The sequence below is a fragment of the Homo sapiens genome, chromosome 4, assembly GCF_000001405.40.
Source record: "Homo sapiens chromosome 4, GRCh38.p14 Primary Assembly".
Taxonomy (NCBI): Eukaryota; Metazoa; Chordata; class Mammalia; order Primates; family Hominidae; genus Homo; species Homo sapiens.
Genome location: NC_000004.12, coordinates 108,586,030 through 108,612,588, shown reverse-complemented (window position 1 = coordinate 108,612,588; position 26,559 = coordinate 108,586,030). Strand labels below are relative to the sequence as shown.

At 40.6% G+C, this 26,559-nt stretch overlaps 1 long non-coding RNA gene across 1 annotated transcript in view, besides 1 other annotated feature; it reads left to right on the top strand.

Moving 5' to 3' along the window:
• RPL34-DT (RPL34 divergent transcript) overlaps positions 1 to 26,559 on the top strand; it is an 82,268-nt gene that overhangs the window by 7,869 nt on the left and 47,840 nt on the right. The window lies entirely within an intron of this gene.
• Positions 280 to 1,837: an enhancer, noted in NCBI's record as "VISTA enhancer hs1050". NCBI's record gives its function as "enhancer in: forebrain[4/5] | other[3/5]" and the evidence as "EXISTENCE:transgenic organism evidence [ECO:0001131][PMID:17130149]".

Sequence of the window (26,559 nt, the reverse complement as noted above, 5' to 3'; positions counted from 1 at the left end):
GTGAACTTCAGAAAGCAAGTTAACCTCACTGAGACTGTCTCTTTATCTGTAACATGGAAGTGGGAATCCCATATTGTGGGTGTGCTGCGGGAATTAACGGAGATAAAGCACGTAGCTGAGGCTGGCACACCATGGCTGCTCAATAGATAAATGGTCTTAGTATTGTTTTCTAGAAATGAAATGCTGCCTTCTGCTCTTCCTTATAACCAGTTTTGCACATCACTGTTACACCTTATACCTTACTAATGTTTGGTGTGTTCTTAGGAGAACATTTTTATTTCCTTGTGTTATTTTGGGGAACTCTAGAAAAACCACTATAGAATTTATCAAAATGGAAACATAGCATGGATTGACAGAAAAGGGCAAAAGAGTTAAAAGGGTTAGTGTGTCAACTCCTTGACTTTCTGGAGATCCTTTTTTTTTTTTTTTTCCCAAAACGTAGCCACTGCCTTTGTGTCTTGTTCCACGTCCTGTGTCTTGTTCCAATTATTTATGCAAATGAAGACAATTGTTTTCCTATGAAAGCTTGGTGAAAAGATGCTATAGAAAAATCCAGTGCATTTTCATTATTGCTTGCTCAACAGCAATACTCTTTTGTAGCAAGAAGAAAATAATTTTGCAAAATGCTCCCCCACCCCCACATGAAAAGTAAAAAGTACATAATATCATGTTTGTGTTGAAACTTTTTCTTCCAAAATGTCATAACCCCATACGAAAGAGAATTAAAATCCCATTATTTTAATTTACATCTAGCCACAAGATAAGTAAAGTTATCATTGAAATTCTAATTAAATGGGATGATTGACTAAGGTAGCACATCAAAGAAGAGAAGTGAATATGATAAGTCGAAGACTTATTAATTAGTCTGCGTGGTAGAAATTCCAGGGATGTCAAGCTGAGCCTGCTTCAAGGAGAAAAAAAGCAGACAAGAAAACGTTCGTTTCTTTGAAGTTAGGAACTGAGATAGTGATGGAGGTAATTGCGTCTGACTGGATCCAGTAATGAAGAGCTGTAAATCAGACTGCAGAATCGAAAGGAAGATTCAAGTAACGAATGTGGCTGCCTCCCCCTGCTGTGAAGAAACAGAATGCAGAGCGCACTAATTGACCCAGCCTATTTCCCAGTAGTTCTCTGTTATTATTTATTAATTTTTAATTTCTGAATTATTTACGTCCTGGGAAATTATTCTTGACAGGCTGTTAGGCGTGCCAAAGTTAATGGAGGAGGAAAGGACTGGTACCAGAATTAGCAGGGATGTAGTCACAGGCTACTGGATTTAATGATTTTGGAAAGAAAAATTGATTTCACACAGTGCGTCACTTTATACTACTTTAGGGATACACCAGCTATTTGATTAATTGAGGAATAACCAATTCAAAGTATATTTGAAGTGTAAATGAGTCACAGTGCTCAGCTGTTTACTTTTCTCTCTTTCTGAGAGATCTGAATTTTCTTCAAGCTGATGATTAAAAGCCAATGAAGACACACTTGCATGCTTTGAATGCACACCTGTTTGATTCATATTAAACTCAGAAGGGAGGAAAACCCTGAAGTACATGAGAAGGTAGTTTCACTTATTTTTTTTCTCCTTTCTAATCGCTTTATGTGATTTCTTTCCTCCAGCGTATAGCACAGCAGTAGTTGCAATCTGCATCCCTTAAGAACGAGGCTCAAGAAAATTTCTCATTTGCTTTATGACCTATGAGCACAGTCAGAAAGAAGCAGTGCTTGCTAATGAATAGAAGAACCAAGTAGAAAAAATGTATTAACAGAAAACAATGACTTTAATGAATAAGGGAAGAGGATTAACCTATTAGGAAAATGAGTGAGGCAGAAATATGCCATCGCCATCCAGGCTAAAAGCCCTGTGTCATTTCTGTCTTCTCCCTTTCCGGGCTCCCTCATTAGCCACCCTCTTTGTTCAGCTATCTTTGGCCTAGTCCTCTAACTGGTTTTCTTAGGTCAAGTCTTCCTCTTCAATTATATTCTATACCGGTGGTTCTCAAATTTTAATGTGCAAACAAATTGCTTGGGGCTCTTGCTACTGTACAGGTTTAGATTCTGTGGGTCTGGGATGGGGACCTGAGATTCTGCATTGCTAGTAGGCTCCCAGGTAAAGCCCATGCTTCTGGTCCTTGACCACTCTTTGAGCAGCAAGATTCTACAAAACTCTGACAGGCACATTTTCTTTAAAACACTGATTTTAACCATGTAACTTTCTCATTCAGACACTTTAAGTGATTTTCAGTGCTTACAGTTAAATACAGATTCCTTGGCATGGCATTCAAGGTCTTCCTAATATGACCACAACCTGCCCTTCTAGGCATATCCTATACTTTCCCATCTCCAGGGTTTTGTTTTTGTTTTTTCTTCTTTGTGAAACACCTTTGTCTTTGGAAATTCTAACAGTGCCTCAAGGCGTATTTCAAATTCCACATCCTCAATGTTGGCCCACTCAATAAGACATGAGCTGTCCTTCAAACTCTTCCTCTCATATCTTTTTACTTTTTTTTTTTTTAAACTGGTTTCTTGAGAAAGGACAGATGTTTTACCTCTTTCTTGCTATGTAGTATCTTCAGTCTCATATAATTGCTATTAATATTGCGATTTCTCCCTGTTCACATACAGAATTGTGAGTTATGTAGGAGTAGGGACTGTTCCTTGTCTTTGTATTTTCCCGAAGTGCAGGTGCAGAGCACAGAGTATGTATCTCACAAATATTTCAGTTAAACTGAACTATGTAAGAACATTCTCTCCATGGTCATTCCTACTCTTGCAAATTTGCAGCATCTCTGAAATCCTTCAGAATAGCTCACGGATCCTGATTTTTTGCTACTTTATTCATTCATCAACTTACCGATTTACTCATAAGCGTTTGAGGGTTCTTTTTGTGTCAGTGCAGTGCCAGGGACTGGAAATATTGAAGTAAAACTACAGTCTTTCACTCCTAAGCTCCGATGATTCCCCCTCCCCACATTTATGTCCTGCTCCCCCACTTCTATATTTACTAATGTCAACCCCAAAATATAAATTATATAAGCGATAATTCTGGCCGGGCACAGTGGCTCACGCCTGTAATCCCAGCACTTTGGGAGGCCAAGGCAGGCGGATCACTTGAGGTCAGGAGTTCAAGAACAGCCTGGCCAACATGGTAAAAGCCCATCTCTACTAAAAATGCAAAAATTAGCCAAGCATGGTGGCAGGCACCTGTAATCCCAGCTACTTGGGAGACTGAGGCACAAGAATCGCCTGAACCCAGGAGGCAGAGGCTGCAGTGAGCTGGAATCACGCCACTGCACTCCAGCCTGGGTGACAGAGTGAGACTCCATATAAAATAAAAATAAAAATAAATTATATAAGCAATAATTCATATATTTTTTAAAAAACCAAAACTCTTCTTGAAAATTCTTATAACTGTTATAGGCTCAAGCACCATTACCTCAGAATATGGACTTCCATGAATCCTGAGAGACTTTCTGCTGAATCTGGGCCTTGCATTCATTTTCCTCTCCAAAGGATTTAAAAATTCTTAAAGCCTTGGCCATTCACTACATTTCTCACCTCACTCCCACCCCCCAGTACCCATTTTTCAGCCTTGCATCAGTTCTCAAACTGTTGCTTCTACCTGATCTAATCTCTCTGAGGGGAGGGCACTTCAACATATTTTAAAAACTTACCCCTTCGTTTATTCTGTTCTCTTCCTCTGTCTTTTCTATTTGTGTTTTGTGCCCCTTACCCTACCCTGATTTCCAGCCTTAATCCCTATACCCTACCAAATGCAGACGGAAAAAACATTTTTTAAAAACTTCTAATTTTGTGTCTTTCATAAAGATTCAGTCAAGAATAAACCACAACAAGCAAGTGTGACAGAAATGTGCAGGAGTCTAATTGTCTAAACTAATTAAAAGAGACCAAAAAATTATATCATGGTTCTTTAGTTGCAGGCAACAGAAGCCAACTCTGGGTAACAAGCAAAAAGGGAAGGAGAAGGATGCAAGGGCTGCTCAGAGAATAGATAATATAATAAATATTAATGACAATAATATGAGACTGAAGACACCACATGGTAAGAAAGAGGTAAAACATCTGTCCTTTCTCAAGAAACCATTTTTTTGTTGTTGTTTGTTTGTTTTTTGTTTTAGAAAAAGGTAAAACAGGTATGAGAGAAAGAGTTTGAAGGACAGCTCATGTCTTATTGAGTGGGAGAAGGTTAGATAGCCAACATTGAGGATGTGGCATTTGAAATACGCCTTAAGACACTGGTAGAATTTCCAAAGGCAAAGGTGTTTCACAAAGAAGAAATAACACAACAAAAGCCTGAAGATGGGAAAGTATAGGATATGCCTACAAGGGCAAGTTGTGGTCATATTAGGAAGACCTTGAATGCCACGCTAAGGAATCTGTATTTAATTTGTAGACACTGAAAGTTGCTTAAAGTGTCTGAATGAGAGAGTTACATGGTTAAAATGTAATTGAATTTTGGAAAACAACGATGGCACCAAATAAGAGAGTGATCCTTTAGTGCCCATGCTAGGGGAACCTGCTTTGGTCTAAATCTTATTCCATCTCCTAAAAACTGATTTATAAGTGGAATGATGCAAAGAAGGGAAATGATTACAGCTGATCCATTTCCCTTGGAAACACTAGCTATCGATTCCTTTATCCCCAGAGCTGTCTGTCTGGTATAATAAATATTAATAACAATAATATGAGACTGAAGATACCACGTGGTTAGGAAAGAGGTAAAACATCTGTCCTTTCTCTTTTTTTTTTTTTCTCAAGAAACCAGTTTAAAAAAAAAAAAAGTAAACAGGTATGAGAGGAAGAGTTTGAAGAACTCATGTCTTATTGAGTAAGAGAAGGTTAGAGTAGCCAACATTGATTCTTGTTCTTCTTGAATCCTGGCTGTTCAGCTTTTCCTCCACTGATTTTTATCAGTGGAAGCCAAAGAACTCTAACTGATGCAAGAGACAGTTGCAATAGCAGGTGCTCACTAGAGGTTTGCTCATCATCCATGTGGTTTATCAGATATGAGCAGATGAGTTTTTAACTCTATCACAGCTCTAAAAGATCTACTGAGAAAAACATCCTTAAAGAAAAGGCAGTCAAAGAAAGTTCTAATGGCAATATTTATTAATATTACTTAAAAGGCCAAACTCTATAGCCGATAAGATAAAGCAAAGGGAAAGTAAAGAAACTTTTGTTGGGATGTTTTAGGCTGATATATTTATATCAGCATACGAATGAGTGATTCAACCTACTAGTTATTGAGGAATATTACAAAGCAAAAGCAGTGTGGTTCTGGTGTAGGAACAGATGAACGGAACAGAGGGAGAGTTCAGAAATAGATCTGTGTGCATATGGGAATTTGATATACAATAAATGTGGTAAAAATGGAAAAGAATGCCTTGTTTAGAATATAGTATTGGGAAAACTGGCTCATCATCTGGAGAAAAAGCTGGACTTTTACGTTACACTATAGAAAGATGGACTCTAAATGAATTAAAGACCTAAATGAGACAGGTGAGTATTCAGAACCAGAAGAAGAAAATAAAGAATTATCTTTGTGGAGTTTATTAAACCATTGAAGTACAAACAATAAGTGGAAAATTGATGACTTAGCTACATTAATGTTACAGCATTTTTTTCAGCAAAGGTTACCAAAAACAAAGTTAATAGACAAGGAGAAGATAGTTGCAGCATCAAAAACAAAGGATAATATTTACATCAGTGCTGTCCACTAGAAATGAAATGTGAGTCACATATGTAATTTAAAATTTTTAGTCACATTAAAAACTAAAACCATTCTGGCCAGGCATAGTGGCTCACGCCTGTAATCCCAGCACTTTAGGAGGGTGAGGTGGGTGGATTGCTTGAGCTCAGTTCAATACCAGCCTGGGCAACACGGTGAAACCCTGTCTCTACAAAAAATACAAAAAAAATTAGTCAGGCATGCTGGCTCGCACCTGTAGTCCCAGCTACTTGAGGGTCTGAGGCTGGAGGATCACTTGAGCCCAGGAGGCAGAGATTGAAGTGAGCTGAGATTGCACCACTGTACTCCAGCCTGGGCAACAGAGTGAGAACCTGTCTCAAAAAAAAAAAAAATGTATAAAGTCATTGTTTCTGATTTTTATTATGAAGAGTTTCAATTTCAACATAAATTGTTGTTCCTGTCTGGCTAAATCACTAATAAGCTCTTCCTTTCTTTTGGAGTTTAAAATTTAGCTCTTTCATATGTAGTGTGATATCTGTGAGAAAACATAAATCATATTGTCATTTTGTCTTTGATTATTGAATATTCCTTCCAATTCAGGAACATATTAAATTGGAGTTAAAAGTACTTTCTAAAAATTCTTGGCCGGGCGCAGTGGCTCACGCCTGTAATCCCAGCAATTTGGGAGGCCGAGGCGGGTGGATCACGAGGTCAGGAGATTGAGACCATCCTGGCTAACATGGTGAAACTCCATCTCTACTAAAAAAAAAAAAAAAAAAAAAAAAATTAGCCGGGCTTGGTGGCGGGCACCTGTAGTCCCAGCTACTTGAGAGGCTGAGGCTGGAGAATGGCGTGAACCCAGGAGGCAGAGCTTGTAGTGGGCTGAGATTGTGCCACTGCACTCCAGCCTGGGTGACAGAGCGAGACTCCATCTCAAAAAAAAAATAAAAATAAAATAAAATAAAAATTCTTCCACAACTATTATCAATGAGCACAGGCAGAGAACACAAGATTAAGAAAATCAGTCTTAATTCTATCAGTCTATTTCTTTCAAAAGTTCCATAACTTGGCAATGATTTATAGCATTAGTGTATAGATACTAAATGACATTTATTTATTTATTTAGAGGCAGTCTTGCTGTGTCACCCAGATTGGAGTGAAGTGATGCGATCTCGGCTCACTGAAACCTCTGCCTCCTGGGCTCAAGCGATTCTCCTGCCTTAGCCTCCCGAATAGCTGGGATTACAGGCACCCGCCACCATGCCGAGCTAATTTTTGTATTTTTAGTAGAGACTGGGTTTCACCATGTTGGCCAGGCTGATCTTGAACACCTGACTTCAGGTGATCTGCCTGCCTTGGCCTCCCAAAGTGCTGGGATTACAGGTGTGAGGCACCACGCCTGGCCCTAAATGACTTTAAAGTAATTGTACTCCATAACAGTTTTCATATGGTGTGCTTTAAAAAACTGAGCACAAAGATTTTCAATACATATCATACAGTGGAACAAAGCAATAAATGAAATAGAAATCTCTTGTCTTACCATTCCAACAAATCTGGATTTTTACCTAACATATATGGGCCACCATCTGTCATTATAGGCACAAATTCTTCTTTGATGGTTATAAAAGATGAAAAACTGCTCCAGAAATTTAGGTGTTTTTAATTCAAATTTAATAAAACTTCATAGTTTTGGAAGTCCTTTGAGACACAAATATACCCAAAGTATTAATAGACATTGTCATTTTTTTGAGATAGAGTCTCACTCTGTAGCCCAGGCTGGAGTGCAATGGTACGATCTTGGCTCACTGTAACCTCCACCTCCCAGGTTCAAGTGATTCTCCTGCCTCAGCCTCCCGAGTAGCTGGGTTTCCAGGTGCCTGCCACCACGCCTGGCTAATTTTTTTTTTTTTTAATAGAGGCGGGGTTTCACCATGTTAGCCAGGCTGGTCTTGAACTTGTGACCTAAGGTAATCCACCCGCCTTGGCCTCCCAAAGTGCTGGGAATGCAGATGTGAGCCACCATGCCCGGCTGACATTGTCTCTTATATCACATCATCCATTTTAAAGCTAAAGAAAAGTACTTGTAATTTTTTAAATTGTTAATCAATTGATCTTTGATACTGTATCGTTGGAAAGTTCTTGTAATCTATGGGCCATTTTTTAATGGCTTAGTTGAAGGTCTTTCACTTTTTGTAAAATATCTTCTTTAGTCTTTTTCTCATAATTTTCTAGCAAAATTTCCACAACTGAAATAATTTGTTTTACTATCTGACTTAAAATGACTTTCATTTTTCATCCCTCCCTTTCCCCTCCCTCCCTCCCTCCCTCCCTCCCTTCCTTCCTTCCTTCCTTCCTTCCTTTTCTGTTTCCTTCCTCCCCTCCCTCCTTTCTTTCTGTAAGAATCCAACACATCTTTTAGCTGTCTAAAATTACAAGCTCAGGGGCCAGGTGCGGTGGCTTATGCCTGTAATCCCAGCATTTTGGGAGGCTGAGGTGGGCAAATCAACTGAGGTCAGGAGTTTGAAACCAGCCTGACCAACATGGCAAAATCTCATCTCTACCAAAAAATACAAAAAAATTAACCAGGCCTGGTGGCGTGCACCTGTAGTCCCAGCTACTTGGGAGGCTGAGGAATGAGAATCGCTTGAACCTGGGAGGCAGAGGTTGCAGTGAGCCAAGATCGTGCCACTGCACTCCAGCCTGGGCAACACAGCAAGACTCTGTCTTAAAAACATAAATAAAATAAAATTATAATCTCAGATCCTGTTAAGAAGCATTAAGGATTTTTTGGTCGTATATTCAACTCCTATTTTGAACTACAATTTTGATTTCTTTTTTGACTTCCAAGGGGAAATGTCTTACCAAATTCATTATGTATTTACTTAAAATGTCTCTTAATATTGTCTAATTTATTGCTTAAAATATTTTTTACACACAAATAGCTTTTTTCATTTTGCTGTGTTACAGCAAATTGCAATTTCCATTCATCGTAGAATTTGTGACATGCTTTCTTTCAGTCCTTTTCTTTTTTTTTTTTTCTTTTTTGAGACGGAGTCTTGCTCTGTCCCCCAGGCTGGAGTGTAGTGGTGCGATCTTGGCTCACTGCAAGCTCTGCCTCCCGGGTTCACGCCATTCTCCTGCCTCAGCCTCCCGAGTAGCTGGGACTACAGGCGCCCGCCACCACACCTGGGTAATTTTTTGTATTTTTAGTAGAGACGGGGTTTCACTGTGTTAGCCAGGATGGTCTCGATCTCCTGACCTCATGATCCACCCGTCTCGGCCTCCCAAAGTGCTGGGATTACAGGCGTGAGCCACTGCGCCCGGCATTTTTTTTTTTTTTTTTGAGACGGAGTCTTGCTCTGTCCCCCAGGCTGGGGTGCAATGGCACGATCTTGGCTCACTGCAACCTCTGCCTCCTGGGTTCAAGCGATTCTCCTGCCTCAGCCTCCTGAGTAGCTGAGATTACAGGCACCCGCTACCATGCCCGGTTAATTTTTGTGTTTTTAGTAGAGATGGGGTTTCACCATATTGGTCAGGCAGCTCTCGAACTCCTGACCTCAGGTGATCTGCCCGCCTCGGCCTCCCAAAGTGCTAAGATTACAGGCGTGAGCCACTGCACCCGGCCAGTCCTTTTCTTTTAATAGCCCAGTTGTAGTACTAGTTTCTGTATCTCCACTTTATTCTGCATTAGTGGTATGCATTCATTTTATATTTAAATTTGGTTCATTTTTAAGCTACACAGGAAGGGGAACATCACACTCTGGGGACTGTTGTGAGGTGGGGGGAGGGGGGAGGGTTAGCACGAGATATACCTAATGCTAAATGACGAGTTAATGGGTGCAGCACACCAGCATGGCACATGTATACATATGTAACTAACCCGCACATTGTGCACATGTACCCTGAAACTTAAAGTATAATAATAGTAATAATAATAATAATAAAAACAAAGAAAAAAATTAAAAAAATAAAATAAAAATGATTTTATTATGGTTACAATACTGGGTATTTAAATTTAATTTCTTCTCAGACGAAGGAAACTAAGAGAATTACCAGTTGACCTACCTTTAAAGAATGACTAAGGATATTCTTCAAAGGAAATGATAGCAGCAGGCATAGAACTTTAGAAAGAAAGAAAGAACAACGGAATGAGAAAAAATAGGGTAACTATAATAGAATATTTTTTATCTCTTATGTTTTAAAAATTATGTTTAATGGTTTAAATTTGTTTCCTATTGCAGCTCTAACAAGTCACTGCAAACACAAGGGCTTAAACAATACAAATGTATTATCTGATAGTTCTAGAGAGCAGAAGCACAAAATGAGTCTCACTAGGCTAAAATCAAGGTGTCAGCAGGGCTGCATTCCTTCTGGAGACTAGGGGAGACTGCATTTCCTTGTCTCTCCCATTTTCTAGAGGACAGCTGCTTTTGTTGGCTCATGGCACCTTTTTTCCACGTTCAAAGACAGCAGTGTTGGTTGAGTCCGTCTCACACTCACACTGCTACCTCTCTGGTTTTCTTTTTTGTCTCTCTCTCCCACACTTATGTCTGTCTGTCTGTCTGTCTGTCTGTCCGTCTGTACATTTGTGTGAGATGGGGTCTTGCTATATTGCCCAGAGTGGCCTGGAACTCCTTGGCTCAAGCAATCCTCTCACCTCATCCTCCCCAGTAGCTGGGACTCTGGGCATAGAACTGACTGCTCTTCCACTTTTATGAATCCTTACGACTATATTGGGCTCCCCTTGATAGTATAGAATAATCTCTCTTTTTAAAGTCAGCTGATTAGCAGCCTTAATTCCATCTGCTCCCTTACTTCTCCTTTGCCACATAACCTATTAACTGTTTTGGGTTATTAGGATGTGGACATCTTTGAGAGTGGGCATTATTCTGCCCATCACAGGATTAAAAAATTATAATACCAATTGGATGTGATATTCAATGTATGTGGAGGAAATACTTAAGACATTATGTTTAAGAGGTGGGGAGGGATAAATTGCTAGGGAATTATGCTGAATTAAAAAAAAGCCACCTATAGGTTGTATACTGTGTGATTTCATCTTTCTAACATTTTGAAATGACGAAATTTTAGAAATGGATATATATTGCCAGGATAAATGGTTGCCAGAGGGTGGGGGCAGGGGAAGGTAGGAGGATGTGGTTATGAGAGCAACACAGAGGATCTTTGTGTTTTGGAACAGTTGAATATCTTGATTGTAGTAGTGGGTACATGACCTACATAGGTGATAACATTGTATAAAACAATATATAAACACATAATAAAAATAAAGACAAAAACAGAAAACAATATATAAACACACACACACACACAAATGAATACCAGTAAAATTAGAACATCTGAATATAATCAGTAGATTGCATCAATTTCAATATCCTGCCTTTTTATGATTATTTGATAATTTCTGAAGGGATGAGAAGTAATGGATTTAATTTGTACATTATTCCAAGTTTCTCTGCAGAATGCAGGATATTTTAGGATATTAGTCATCTTGTTAGTCTAGAATCTTAAAAAGTGGTTGGCAGAGGTGGGAGGGAGGTGGATGTGGGTGTAAAAGGCATCAGGTGGGCTCCCTGTCGTGTTGGAACTGTTTAGCATCTTGACTGTGGCAGTAGATACACAAACCTGCACAGAAGATAAAAATATATGGAACTTGGCCGGGTGTGGTGGCTCATGCTTGTAATCCCAGGACTTTGAGAGGCCAAGGTGGGTGGATCACCTGAGGTCAGGAGATCGAGAACAGCCTGGCCAACATGGTGAAACCTGTCTCTACTAAAAATACAAAAATTAGCCGGGTGTGGTGGTGGGAGCCTGTAATCCCAGCTGCTTGAGAGGCTGAGGCAGGGGAATGGCTTGAACCCGGGAGGCAGAGGTTGTAGTGACCCGAGATTGTGCCACAGCACTCCAGCCTGGGCAACAGAGGGAGACTCTATCTCAAAAAAAAAAAAAATATATATATATATATATACACACACACACACACACACACACGTATATATACACATATACATATATATAATATATATATGGAACTTAATACATCACACACATGCAAATGATTCCAATGGGAAATCTGAATATGATCTGTGGATTGTATCAATGTCAGTATCCTAGTTATACTGTTATGATACAGTTTTTTAAAGTTTTACCATTGAGGAAAACTGGAATCAGCATATAAGGAATCTATCTCTGTTATTTCTTACAACTGCATGTGAATCTACAATTAGCAGAACAAACATTTCAATTTAAAAAAGTGAAAGAGTGAAAGGACCTAATGGAAGTAAGGTTTCTACACTCAAAGTGGTAAAATGTCAACGCTGTTAGACTGTGATAAATTATGCAAGTATATTGTAATACCTAGGGAAACCATTAAGAAAACTATTCAAAGAAATATACTCAAAAAACTATAAAGTCAAAATGTAATTCTAAAACATTTTCAAGTGACCCACAGAAAGGTGAGAAAGGGGAAACAGAGGAATGAAAAACAGAGGGAACAAACAGTAAACAATTAATAAAATAGCCAACTTAAGCCCAGCACACCAATCATTACTTTCAATATAACTAATCTAAATACGCCAATTAAAAGGCAGAGATTGGCAGGATGGATAAGTTTAATTATGAAGGATGGTTTAAGTAGGTATCACTATAACTCTTGTTGTTTGCACAAAATATTCAAATAAACACATTGCAGTGTTACATAGTTCACAGAAAAAAATCATTCAAACCAAATCAGTCCATTGGTACTGGCTACATTGGTGATGTTTTTATGTATAATACATAAGAAATAATACATAAGAATATGTTATGTATAATACATAAGAATATTATGTATAACACATAAGAAATAATGTATGTATAATATATATAATGTATAAGAAAAATGTGTACTATAATAAAACAATAACAATATCTTAACATAAGTTAAAGTAAAACGTACATTTACCAAAATGCTGCTTCAGTTTTAAATTTAAATTAAATGGAGTGAAATGAAATGAAAAATTCATTTCTAGCTGCATTTCAAGTGCTCAATTGTCACAGACCCAGCGTAGACATAGAAATCCTATATAGCAAAAACAACCCAAAATTTAAAAAAAATAAAAATGTGTAAAGCATATTAATAGGTAATTCAGTGACAAAGACATTCACTAGTAATCTGAAAGTTAATTAAAATTCTACATGGGTTCTGAGAGCTTTTACCCTTAAGTAATACATATCAGTTAAATTCACATTTCCTCCACCAAAGTAGTCTCTTCGTCACACTTATCATCAAGGGGAAAATAAGTAGCTAGGAAGTGCAGTCCTACTCTGTGCTGAGTAAAAGGTCTGGAAATATTTGCAGAATAGCATTATTATCTACATAAGCCACATATGAATTTTTTTTTAAATATTTGTGAAGTGGAGAATTGAAAGCAATCTAGCTGTCTCTCACCAGGTGGATGGCACTTTTTTTTTTTTTTTGAGATGGAGTTTTGCTTTTATTGCCCAGGCTGCAGCGCAATGGTGCAATCTCAGCTAGCTCACTGCAACCTCTACCTCCCGGGTTCCAGCGATTCTCCTGCCTCAGCCTCCTGAGTAGCTGGGATTACAGGCATGCACCACCACACCTGGCTAATTTTGTATTTTTAGTGGAGACAGGATTTATCCATGTTGGTCAGGCTGGTCTTGAACTCCTGAACTCAGGTGATCCGCCCGCCTCGTCCTTCCAAAGTGCTGGGATTGCAGGCATTAGCCACTGTGCCTGGCCGGCACTTTTAATTTATGTTAATTATTGCTACCATTCATTGAGAGTTTAATTTGTGACTCACTGTCCTAAGATTTTACATTTAATTTTTTTTATTTTTTGAGATGGAGATTCACTCTGGTTGCCCAGGCTGGAGTGCAGTGGTGCAATCTCGGCTCACTGCAACCTCCGCCTCCCAGTTTCAAGCCTCGGCCTCCCAAAGTGCCGGGATTACAGGCGTGAGCCACCGCACCTGGCCAAGATTTTGCATTTATTAATCGTATTTAACCACCCTATACATCCATGAGGTGGATATACTGATAATTTTCCTTGTATTACATTAGGAGTAACTTGCCCAGGATCACCCCTCTGTTAAGTGGCAGAGCTGGAACTTGAACTCACTATTTTCTGACTTTATAACCCATGCCCTTTTATCCTTTAGGCTGTACTGCCTCTTTTGATCAATTTGCCCCATTCATGGTTATGCATGCTGATGGAGACTGCTTTTGAAGCTTCTTTATTGAAGGAGCGGGAGAAGAGTAAGAAAGTTGGAGCAGACTAAGAAGACAGGAAAGAAAGAAAAGCAAAAGTAAGATAGAGGTCAGTGAGAAATGAGTGACAAAATGGGTGTTGGTTACCTCACAGGTTTTTTAAATTTCACAAGGCCCTACTCTGTCTTTGTCATTCTGTCCTCCAGATTTCTTGCTGGTGGCTCTCCTTGTCTGAACACAACCACAGGGCACGTGAATCTGTAATACAATCCATAATGGTCAACTTCCCATGACACAGATTAGAGTGCAGAAAAACCTCCAGCATACCATGTTTTCTTCTTTTTTAATTCTTTTTTTCCATTCATTTTGGTGGGAGCATATCCTTAATAGCTTCTTGAGAAAGAGTACATGGGAATTAAGTTTTTGAGACCTTGATTGTCTGAAAATGTTTTTGTTGTTGTTGTTTTAAGACAGAGCCAAGGGCTGGGTGCAGTGGCTCGTGCCTTTAGTCCCATCACTTTGGGAGGCTGAGGTGGGCGGATCACCTGAGATCAGGAGTTTGAGACCAGCTTGATCAACATGGAGAAACCCCATCTCTACTAAAAAAATACAAAATTAGTGGAGCATGGTGGTGCATGCCTCTAATCCCAGCTACTTGGGAGGCTGAGGCAGGAAAATTGTTTGGACCTGGGAGGCGGAGGTTGTGGTTAGCCGAGATTGCGCCATTGCACTCCAGCATGGGCAACAAGAGTGAAACTCTGTCTCAAAAAAAAAAAAAAAACAACCCAAGCCAATCTGGGTGCAGTGGCTCACGTCTGTAATCCCAGCATTTTGGGAGGCCGAGGTGGGTGGATCACTTGAGGTCAGGAGTTCGAGACCAGCCTGGCCAGCATGGTGAAACCCTGTCTCTAGTAAAATACAAAAATTAGCTGAACGTGGTGGCGCGCCCTGTAATCCCCACCTACTCAGGAGGCTGAGGTGAGAGAATCACTTGAACCTGGGAGGCAGAGGTTGCAGTGAGCCTAGATCACACTACTGCACTCCAGCCTAGGCGACAGAGTGAGACTGAGCCAGACGCCTTGGCTCACGCCTGTAATCCCAGCACTTTGGGAGGCCGAGGCGGGTGGATCACCTGAGGTCAGGTGTTCAAGACTAGCATGGCCAACATGGTGAAACACCGTCTCTACTAAAAATACAAATTTTAGCTGGGCATGGTGTGGCATGCACCTGTAATCCCAGCTACTCAGGAGGCTGAGGCGATAGAATCGCTCAAATCTGGAAGATGGAGGTTGCAATGAGCTGAGATCCGGCCACTGCACTCCAGCCTGGGCGACAGAGCGAGACTCCAACTCAAAAAACAAACAAACAACAACAACAAAAAAAAAAACAAGACAGAGTCTCCCTCTGTCGCCCAGGCTGGAGTACAGTGGCACGATCTTGGCTCACTGCAACCTCTGCCCTCCAGGTTCCAGCGATTCTCCCGCCTCAGCCTCCCGAGTAGCTGGGATTACAAGTGCGTGCCACCACGCCCATCTAATTTTTGTATTTTTAGTAGAGATGGGTTTTCACCCTGTTTTGGCCAGGCTGGTCTTGAACTCCTGGCCTCAGGTGATCCTCCCACTTCGGCCTCCCAAAGTGCTGGGATTATAGGTGTGAGCCATGGTGGATGGCCTGAAAATGTTTTTCTTCTTCTCTCCTGTGTATTTGATGGTTTGGCTGAATCTAGAATTGCAGTAGGAATGCTTTAACTCAAGAATTTTTGTTGTTTTTGTAAAGACAGTGTATAATTGCCAAACAGATTATTCCTGTCCACTGCACAGACAAAATCAATTCACTGAGATCACAGCATTGCAGTATAATTTAATTGACATGAGGCTGGCCCATGCAGGAGAAATAGAGTGATCATTCAAATCAGCTACCCTGAAGGCTTGAAGGCTATGGTTTTTATGGTCAATTTGGTGGGTAGGGGTCTAGGGAATGGGTGCTGCTGATTTGTTGGGGATGAAATCACAGGAGTGTGGAGAATGGTCCTTGTGTGCTGAGTCAGCTTCTGGGTGAGAATATCAGGATTAGTTGAGTCCTGAGTCATGAGCGTGGGTGGGATCAGTCTGAAAACTATTGCAAAAAATAATATAATAATTTTAGGTTTTACAATAGTGATGTTATCTGGAAGAGCAATTGGAGAAGTCACAAATCTTGTGACCTCTGGGCACATGATCCCTGAGCAGTAAGGGATTATGGAAACTACTCCTATATTTTAGTAGAGTTCAGGTCCCTCCCATAAGCCTAATCTTGTGGTTTTACAAAGGCGGTTTTCAGTCCCTGAGCAAGGAAAGGCTTAGTTTTTATTTATCTATTTAGAGACGGAGTTTCGCTCTTGTTGCCCAGGCTAGAGTGCAATGGCGACATCTCGGCTCACTGCAACCTCTGCCTCCTTGTTCAAGCAATTCTCTTGCCTCAGCCTCACGAGTAGCTAGGATTACAGGCATCCACCGTTACCCCTGGCTATTTTTTTGTATTTTTAGTAGAGATGGGGTTTCACCATGTTGGTCAGGCTAGTCTCGAACTCTTCACCTCAGGTGATCCACCCACCTCGACTTCCCCAAATGTTGGGATTACAGGCATGAGCCACCACACCCGGCTGGAAGGGCTTAGTTTTAGGGAGGGACTATTATCATCCTTGTTTTAAAGTTAAAATACAAACTAAATTTCTCCCAAAGTTAGCTTGGACTACACCCGGGAATGACCAAGGACAGTTTGAAGGTTAGAAGCAAAATGGAGTCAACTGAGGTGGATTTCTATTACTGTTATAATTTAGCAAAGACATTTTCAGGGTCTTGCTCTATTGCCCAGGCTGAAATACAATGGCATGATGATAGCTCACTGCACCCTTAAACTCTTGGGCTCAAGTGATCTTCCCATATTTGTGTTTCAAAGTGCTGGGATTACAGGTGTGAGCCACTGTGCCTGGACTCTGAAAAATTTTGAAGGTCGGCTGGGCATGGTGGCTGACACCTGTAATCCCAGCATTTTGGGAGGCCAAGGCTGGTGGATCACGAGGTCAGGAGATCAAGACCATCCTGGCCAACATGGTGAAACCCTGTCTCTACTAAAAATACAAAAATTAGCTGGGCGTGGAGATGGGCATCTGTAATCCCAGCTACTCGAGAGGCTGAGGCAGGAGAAACGCTTGAACCTGGGAGGTGGAGATTGCATTGAGCCAAGATCACGCCATTGCACTCCAGCCTGGGCAACAGAGTGAGACTCCATCTCAAAAAAAAAAATTTTTTTTGAAGGTCTTTCTCTTGTCTTATTGTAGCTGAGAAGTGTGAAGGCATTCTGATTCCTAGTCCTTTCTAAGTAGTCTATTTTTCTCTCTGCAAGTTTATAGGATCTCTGTCCCCAGTGTTCTGAAACTTCACAGTGATGTTGCTCAATGTAGCTCTACTAGAATCTATTTTGCAGGAGCACTTGGTGGGCCCTTTTCATCTAGCAATTCATGTCTTCAGTTGTGAAAAATTTTTGTTAAATTATTTTACTAATGATTTTTCTGCTTCATTTTCTCCTTGCTCTCTTCCTGGAACCCTTATTACTCATATGTGAGACCTTCAGGTGTGCTCCCTTTATTTTTCTTATATCTTCTCTTCTATTTTCCGTCTGTCTTTTTGCTGTTTTCTTAACACTTTCTTGAACTTTATCTTCAACTCTTCTGTTGAATTTTTCATTTCAGCTATTAGCTGCTCTTTTAATTCTCTGAATTTTCTTTTGACATAGCATCATTTTCTATTTTCACAAAGGAAATATTTTCTCTCAGAATTTTTTTTTTTTTTTTTAGACAGAGTCTCGCTCCATCACCCAGGCTGGAGTGCAGTGTCAAGATCTCGGCTCACTGCAACCTCTGCCACCTGGATTCAAGCGATTCTCCTGCCTCAGCCTCCCGAGTAGCTGGGACTACAGGCATATGCCACCACGACCCGGTAATTTTTTCTATTTTTAGTAGAGATGGGGTTTCACTATGTTGGCCAGGCTGATCTTGAGCTCCGGACCTCAGGTGATCTGTGATTGGACTCCAGTGAAGACTCCAAGATGGCGATCGCCACCTCGGATACCCTGATTCAGCATTTCCGGGTTCACCTTTCCTGTTCCCGCCACCCTGACTAACGCGCATGCCCACTAGGGCGTGTCACACTCAGAAGCGCGAAACTCAACCGACCCCGCCCCTACCCCGCCCACTCTTCACCCAGCATCCATAAAAGCGCGCTGCACCTTTGGCACAGTGCGACTTCCCTGGCCCTCCCCCTGCGGACCAGTGAACCTCGCCTGAGAGCTCAAGAAAGAAGATTTTTGCCCTCTTAGTCTCGCCTCTCCGCCTTATTGTTCCACGGTGCCCTTCCATTGCCTTTCAATCTGCCCACCTTGGCCTCCCAAAGCGCTAGAATTACAGGCGGGAGCCACTGCACCCAGTCTCTCTGAGGTTATTAAGAATAGCTTTGTTTGGGCTGGGTGCAGTGGCTCACACCTGTAATCCCAGCACTTTGGGAGGCTGAGGCAGGTGGATCACCTGAAGTCAGGAGTTCAAGATCAGCCTGGCCAACATGGTGAAACCCTGTCTCTACCAAAAATACAAAATTAGCTGGGTATGGTGGCGCATGCCTGTAATCCCAGCTACTTGGGAGGTTAAGGCAGGAAAATTGCTTGAACCCGGGAGGCGGAAGTTGTGGTGAGCCGAGATTGTGCCATTGCACTCCAGCCTGGGCAACAAGAGTGAAACTCCGTCTCGAAAAAAAAAAAGAATAGCTTTGTTTGGCCAGGCACGGTGGCCCACTTTGGGAGCCGAGGTGCGTGGATTGCTTGAGCTCAGGAGTTCGACAGCAGCCTCGGCAACATGATGAGACCCTGTCTCCTCTAAAAATACAAAAGTTGGAGGTCGGGGGAAAGGGGACAGAGAGCATTAAGACAAATACCTAATGCATGCAGGGCTTAAAACCTAGATTACAGGTTGATAGGTGCAGGAAACCACCATGGCACATGTATACCTATGTAACAAGCCTGCACATTCAGCACATGTATCCCAGAACTTAAAGTAAAATTAAAAAAAAAAAAAAATACAAAAATTAGCTGGTGGCCGGGCACAGTGGCTCACGCCTGTAATCCCAGCACTTTGGGAGGCCGAGGTGGGCAGATCACTTGACGTCAGGAGTTCAAGACCAACTTGGCCAACATGGTGAAACCCCGTCTCTACTAAAAAAATATAAAAATTAGCTGGATGTGGTTGCATGCGCCTGTAATCCCACTTACTTGAGAGGGTGAGGCAGGAGAATTGCTTGAGCCTGGGAGGCGGAGGTTGCAGTGAGCTGCGGTCACGCCACTACACTCCAGCCTGGGCGGCAGAGCTAGACTCTACCTCAAATAAATAAATATATAAATTAATTAAATTAAATAAAAAAAAATTAGCTGGTCATATTGGTGCATGCCTGTGGTCCTGGCTAATCAGGAGGATTAGTTGGGAGAATTGCTTGAGCCCAGGAGATCGAAGCTACAGTGAGCCAAGATAGAGCCACTAAACTCCAGCCTGGGCAACAGAATGAGACCCTGTCTCAAAAAAAAAAAAAAAAAAAAAAAGAATAGCTTTGTTGGAGTTTCCCCCCGCCCCACCCCCCACCGTATAGTCTCTATTTCCTTCAAGTTGCTTTCTTTTGTTTATTGGTTTGGTCTTTATCTTCCATATCTTGTCATCCTTCCTTTATAATTAAGAACAAGGGATTTAAATCATAATTGGTTGCTCTGGGTGCTTCTGTGGAGCTTGTTTACTTTGGATGTCACTGTCAAGTGGTCTGGATAGGCTCTTTGTACTTCCAATGTCAATATTTAAAAAATCTTTCCTCCTGGCAGGGCATGGTGGCTCATGCGTGTAATCCCAGCACTTTGGGAGGCCCAGGTGGGCAGATCACTTGAGGCCAGGAGTTCAAGACCAGCCTGGCCAACATGATGAAACCCCATCTCTACTAAAAATACAAAAATTAGCTGGGTGTCGTGGTACATGCCTGTAATCCCAGCTATTTGGGAGGCTGAGGCAGAGAATTGCTTGAACCTGGGAGCCAGAGGCTTCAGTGAGCGGAGATCGCGCCACTGCACTCCAGCCTGGGCAACAGAGCAAGACTCCATCTCAAAAAAAAAAAAAAAAAAAACCCAAAAAACAAAAAACTTTCCTCCTATGTTGAGATTTTTAGCAGAAAACATTCTTCCGATCTCCTTACTAAAGGGAAATGACCAGGCTTCTGGCATTCTGGAAGCCAAGTGGAGGAAGTGATGAAAGGTTTTAGCATTCCATATGCATTCAGTCATGCAATCTGTCTGTGTTTGGTATGATGATAGATCTTTAATTGTATCTCGTGTCCTGCATTTCAAAGGCCTTCTGCTGCGCTTACTCCTCAGAATAAATCAGGTGAGGAAAGGGCAATGTGAGTTAAGGTATAGAGATTTAACCCAATGGAACAGCTTTCATTCAATCCTCATTTTACCCTCTTCATTATTTTGGCCTCCCCTCTACACCAGTGGTAGGGGTATATGGCACTGCCAGTTGTCAGTCTGCTTTTCAGATTCCAAAATTTTCCTGCCCTTGTATTCTCTTGTGCTTGCTTGCTTGCTTTTCTCTTCCTTCCTTCCTTCCTTCCTTCCTTCCTTCCTTCCTTTCTTTTTCTTTCTTTCTTTCTTTCTTTCTTTCTTTCTTTCTTTCTTTCTTTCTTTCTTTTTCTTTCTTTCTCTTTCTTTCTTTCCTTCTCTCTCTCTCTTTCTTTCTTTCTCTTTCTTTCTTTCTTTCTTTCTTTCTTTCTTTCCTTCTCTCTCTTTTCTTTCTTTCTTTCCTTCTCTCTCTCTCTTTTTCTTTCTTTCTTTCTTCCTTCCTTCCTTCTTTCCTCCCTCCCTCTCTCTCTTTCTTTCTTTCTCTCTCTTTCTCTCTTTCTTTCTTTCTTCTTCTTTTTTTTTTTTTCCAGAGTCTCACTCTGTCACCTAGGCTGGAGTGCAGTGGTGTGATCTTAACTCACTGCAACCTCCGCCTTCCAGGTTCAAGTGATTCTCCTGCCTCAGCCTCCCAAGCAGCTGGGATTACAGGCGCCCACCACCATGCCTGGCTAATTTATGTATTTTTAGTAGAAACGGGGTTTCACCATGTTGGCCAGCACCTGATCTCAAGTGATCTGCCCTCCTCAGCCTCCCGAAGTGCTGGGATTAGAGGCGTGAGCCACCGTGCCCGGCCTTTTTTTTTTTTTTTCCAGTTTTTTCTTTGTTTTTTAGTTTCTCCTTTTTTTTGTTTTTGTGTTTTTTTCATGTGAGTTGTACCTTTTCAAGAAAATCACTTTACTCAAGTTTTATGGAATTTTGTAGAGCAGCAAAATTAGATGTGTGGTTTAGTCTACCATCTTAACCCAGAAAACCATTTAGATCTACTTTTGCTCCTTTTTTAAAAATGAATGAAGTAGAAGTTTCAGGATACTGAGATAAAGACCAAAGCGTTCTTCTGTCTCCTTTATTTTCTCTCCATGACAATGTGAAACCATATTTAGATCAAACAAGTGTTCATTTAAGCCCTGTGCTTTTGAGAAAAATAGTTTTGAAAGTTTGAGCAATCTGAGCAAACTTGGCCCTTGGAGCTGACCCAAAGGAGTTTTCTACAAACCATGACCAAACTTTGTGGACACAGAGGCTGGTTGCTTAAAGAACAGACCTCTCCTAGGTCAGAAATGATAGGTTCCACTGAGAGCAAATTCAAACAACACTGTTTCATTTGAAGGAATTTCAATATCTAGGTTTTTCTCTAATAAATACATTAAACAACAAGCTTAATTTTTCTTGTGTTACTTATTACACAATTACAGATGTTACTTACTGAAATATGGATAAATTGTCTTTTAGGAAATGTTGACTGAGGACTAAGTATGAAGTACAATAAATAGAAAGTCAGAAAATACTAATCCCATTCATTTCCTATTTAAAAATGAGAAAAATGAATTATTAATTGTATTGTAAGAGTTATGGATACTTCAGGACTATAAACTGGGAATTTTGCCAAGTGTTGCTCAGACCAACCTTGATTAACATTCATTCACCATTCATTCATTTATTCATTCATTCACTCAAACATGTTTCTTGATCCCCCATATATGCAAGGCTCTGAACTAGTTACTGGACCTCTACCCGTGAACAAGGCAGACCCTGCCTTCTTGGAACTTGTGCTCTGGCAGAACGGACAAGCATGAAACAAGTAATTGCAACATGATTTACTGTGGTAAGAATATAAGAGAGGAGTGCTTGCCTTAATCTCAGGTGTAATGTTTGAGTTGAGATCTGAGAGAGGAGTAGATGTTAATTAGGCAAAGAGCAGGCATAGAATAGGGGGCCTGGAAATCTACCAGATCTAAGTCACAGAACAGTCAGTGTAAATACCCAGAGACATTCCTTGAGACACAGAGGGGCACAGACACAGCAAGAGAACTGGGCAGGAGGCAAAGTCCACATCATGATTAGCTGTAATGCTTCCTCAGGAAGACAAGAACTCCTCACAGCAGAAACACAGGGCAGAGAAATTTTTCTGCCCAACAGTTTGAACGGTCACCCTGCTTCAACATGACAAAACAAGCCAACGAAAATATTTTACTCAGGACAAGTTTTCAAAAAGCATAAATGCATTTTTTAATGGTTTAGACTTTTATTTGAATACAAAATGAAGTCTCTTACTGGTGAATAAGAACAGCATCTATTAAGAGTACCCAAATACCATCTATTATGTTATTTGCTAATGTATTTATACCACTCCCGCAAGCTGGTGTTTCTGTTTTGTTTTGTTTTAATCACAATTCAGTGTTAAAAAGATAAAGCTTTTTAAACATTCACTGTTGCTCAAAAGCTGAGTGCATGTGCTGTCTCAGATCATGAGGTTAGTGGTGCTTATTTCAATATTAAATAAAAGGATTCATTTTCATTGAAGCAAGCAGGGAATTAAGCTTACAACTTCAATTACCAATAATTAATTCTCCACACTGCAAGCCATGCAGTTTGCGTTTAAACTCCCAATGCCCCAAGGATAACAAAAATCTATTTTGATCACTTTTTATTTTCATCATTTAAAGAGTACATCTTATTTTAATTAGGCACATACATTTCCAGATTATAAGAGAGAACAAATATCCCTTCTAAAAAAAAAAACAGGGAATTGTGGGGAGTGGGGGACAGAGGACTTTTAAGCATGACAAAGAAATTTCTGAGATATTTTCTTTCTCTTGCTTTTATTGAAAGAGCACCTAATATTGTCGAGAATTAGCTACCTCATATCCATGAAGCTATTATTTACAGGCAGATGAATAATTTCTCTAAATTCATTTTTCCTTATGCATTAAGCTATTCTTTGCTGGCTTTTCATTATTTAAGAGAAAGAAAGCAATTGAGCACATGATTTTAAATGAGGCAAAATTAAGTCCTGCTCCAAAGCCAACCCCACCAACTCTGGAAGCAGGCATAAGGATGAGAAGGACTCTTCAGAGAGGGAGGCTTGACCTAGTGGTGGGTAAGGGAGACTGAGCTCATCAGGATCTTCCTTATTCTTTTGACAAATTCTGAGCAACAGAAAGGAACCGCCAGGGTGTCACCAAAGCAAAGACACAATCAGAGCTGGAGTTCTTAGAGATAAAAAGTGATGCTTGGAATTAGGTTTCATCAGAAAGAGGCAGACCTGTGTGGCATCCAGAAAATAAGTTCTAAGAAGACTCTTCTTTCAAGTTTTAAAGACATTAGGTTTCTTCCAGCCTGTAAGTGCTAACTTTGCCCCAAATAAATCTCATAATTCATAATACAATTGACCATGTTACAGTAAAATCTCATTTAAGTGGAACTTAATTAAATGAAACCATAAATTAACTAGAATTAGCTTCTATACTTGGCTTTCAGGAAAAATAGGGGAATCATAAAAAAAATGCAGTATAAGTCATTTAATAAAAAGTAATAGTTACAAAGGCAAGTTCTAAGGTCAGTGCACCTTCATCCCAGTCTTCAACCCACAGCTGAACAATGTCCAAACATATCCAGAATCTTGATCTTAGTACCCTACAAGATCTTTAATATAGGCAATAATATACTTTCTTTGTTTGTTTGTTTTTGATGTTTTTTTGAGATGGAGTCTCCCTCTGTTCCCCAGGCTGGAATGCAGTGGTGCGATCTCAGCTAACTGGAGCCTCTGCCTTTTGGGTTCAAGCGATTCTTGTGCCTCAGCCTCCTGAGAGCTGGGATTACAGGCCTGTGCCCTGGCTAATTTTTGTATTTTTAGTAGAAACGGGGTTTCACCATATTGGCCAGGCTGGTCTCAAACTCCTAGCTTCACGTGAGCCACCCGCTTCAGCCTCCCAAAAGTGCTGGAATTACAAGCGTGATGCACCATGCCCAGCCGATATAGTTTTAAAGATTCTATTAAAAAGATTTGAGGGCTGGGTGTGGTGGCTCATGCCTGTAATCCCAGCACTTTGGGAGGCCGAAGTGGGTGGATCACTTGAGGCCAGGAGCTCAAGACTAGCCTGGCCAACATGGTGAAACCCCATCTCTACTAAAAATACAAAATTAGCCAGTCGTGGTGGCAGGCACCTGTAATCCCAGCTGCTCGGGAGGCTGAGACAGGAGAATCACTTGAACCGGGGAGGCAGAGGTTGCAGTGAGCCAAGATCGCGCCACTGCACTCCAGTCTGGATGACAGAACAAGACTGTCTCAAAAAAAAAAAAAAAAAAAAAAGGATACAGGCAGAAAGTATCTTCTGGCTAAGTGAATCTTAATGATTACAAATTTTAATAGCTGTTTAACCTGTTATTCAAGCATTCTGATTAATTAACTTTTTCCAACATTACTCAAAAACTTATACATTAAAAGAGAGCCGCCTGCCTAATGAAATTCAACCAAAAGTTTCCAAATGCAAAGAGAAAAGGGAAGCCTTTGCTGATATTAGTATACAAAACAGAAACAAAAACAGATTTTATGTCCTGAAGGCCAAGAGCCACATCTACTAAAATCATTTGTTTAAGGAGCCCGGCCACTGGCTCTGCGTCTGTATGCTTGATGCATTGTTGTCAGCACAAGCAAATATTTCCACCCCAGGAAATCAAATTTAAATAGTATAGTAAGCAATGTCTTTTCACAAGACAGACTTTAAAGAAATCATTTCTTTTTTTAATGGAGAGTTTTTGTTTACAAATCACTCTGACAGAAAAATCAGGAGATTTATTTTGCTGGGGAATTAAAAGTGACAATATGACATTCATTTCTTGGTTTCTGTCTTTAAATCTTTCAAGATCATGCCTTCAGCAACAAAAGTAAGTAAGTCCTGCATTTAGACACTTTATTACTCCTGTCCCATCCCATCTATAAGACACATCCTCTCTTGTCATTGAAGGCTTTGGCTCCTGTCAATGGTCTACTGAAGTTTTTAGCACAGACAAGCAAATTCTACTCAGGAACTTTATTGTGGTACCATACAAATGTTTCCAAGCACAATGGGTGTTATTAGCCCAAAATATCCCTGATGGACCACTCAGCTCTAAGATCCAGCCCCTTGTCATAGATAGCCAAGGGGGACAAAGAGAATAGAGAAGCCTCAAATTGGCTTGGAAAGATAGGCCAACCACAGGAGGTCTGGGACAAGAAGCCACTGAATGCCTGACGGGTTTCCCATGACATAGCTGTTCCTGCCTGGGAAGAGGGCAGGGAACACTGGTACCCACTTTATAAGATTCTGTAAATGACAAACTCCTGAAGGCAATAGCCTACCACCAGCTAAAAACATCTGTGGGAACTGAAAACGGGCTAGATTGGAATGCCACTGAGATCTGCGTTGCTTTCTGTTTGGAACCGGAGGCTGTCCCCAGGGTTTGATAGTCAGCCAAAGCATGGAGAAGTGCTATTTTCCACAAGGAAAAGAGATACCGTTTATGGCTGTTGTCTGTCACTCAAGCATGTTTGAGTTGTTTTTCCACTAGAGATGATGGTCTCATACTCCCCTGCTCTATGCTCTGTGTTACCAGACTAAGGTGTTTGAGGCGACTACCTAGTTAGGGTACAAATTTCGGTAGCGCCAAGAGGGAGAATGTTGATTGCTTTTTGAGGAAATAAACCTCTGCTTGGGCCCTCAATAGTGTCAAGCTCAATTGAACTAACTCAATATTTAGCATTGTCTTCATTTGTTTCATAGAAATTTGAAAATGAAAACAAGTTTGATTATGAAATTAAAAAAATAGATATTCACTTGGTTTCAAAAAAGTAACAAATTTTACAAACTTTTTTTGTTTTCTTTTCATCATCACAATTTTCTAAGCTGCTGGCATTCCTGGGTAGGTTGACAGAATAAATCAAATAGCTGGGCCATCCGATTCTCTGTTGAGGGAATTTTGTTTAAATTAGTGGTATTTGAAATTCAACATTCCTTAAAACGGTTTACAGGTTTCTTTTTAATATGTCTTCGCTATCCTGTCACGTTTTCTTTGTTACTCTTTGTTGGACCCAATTATTCTCTTGCAGTCCAGTGAATGAACGCTATGAAATGAAAGTTTAGAGAGGTCAAGTGACTTGTCCATGGTCACACAGCTAG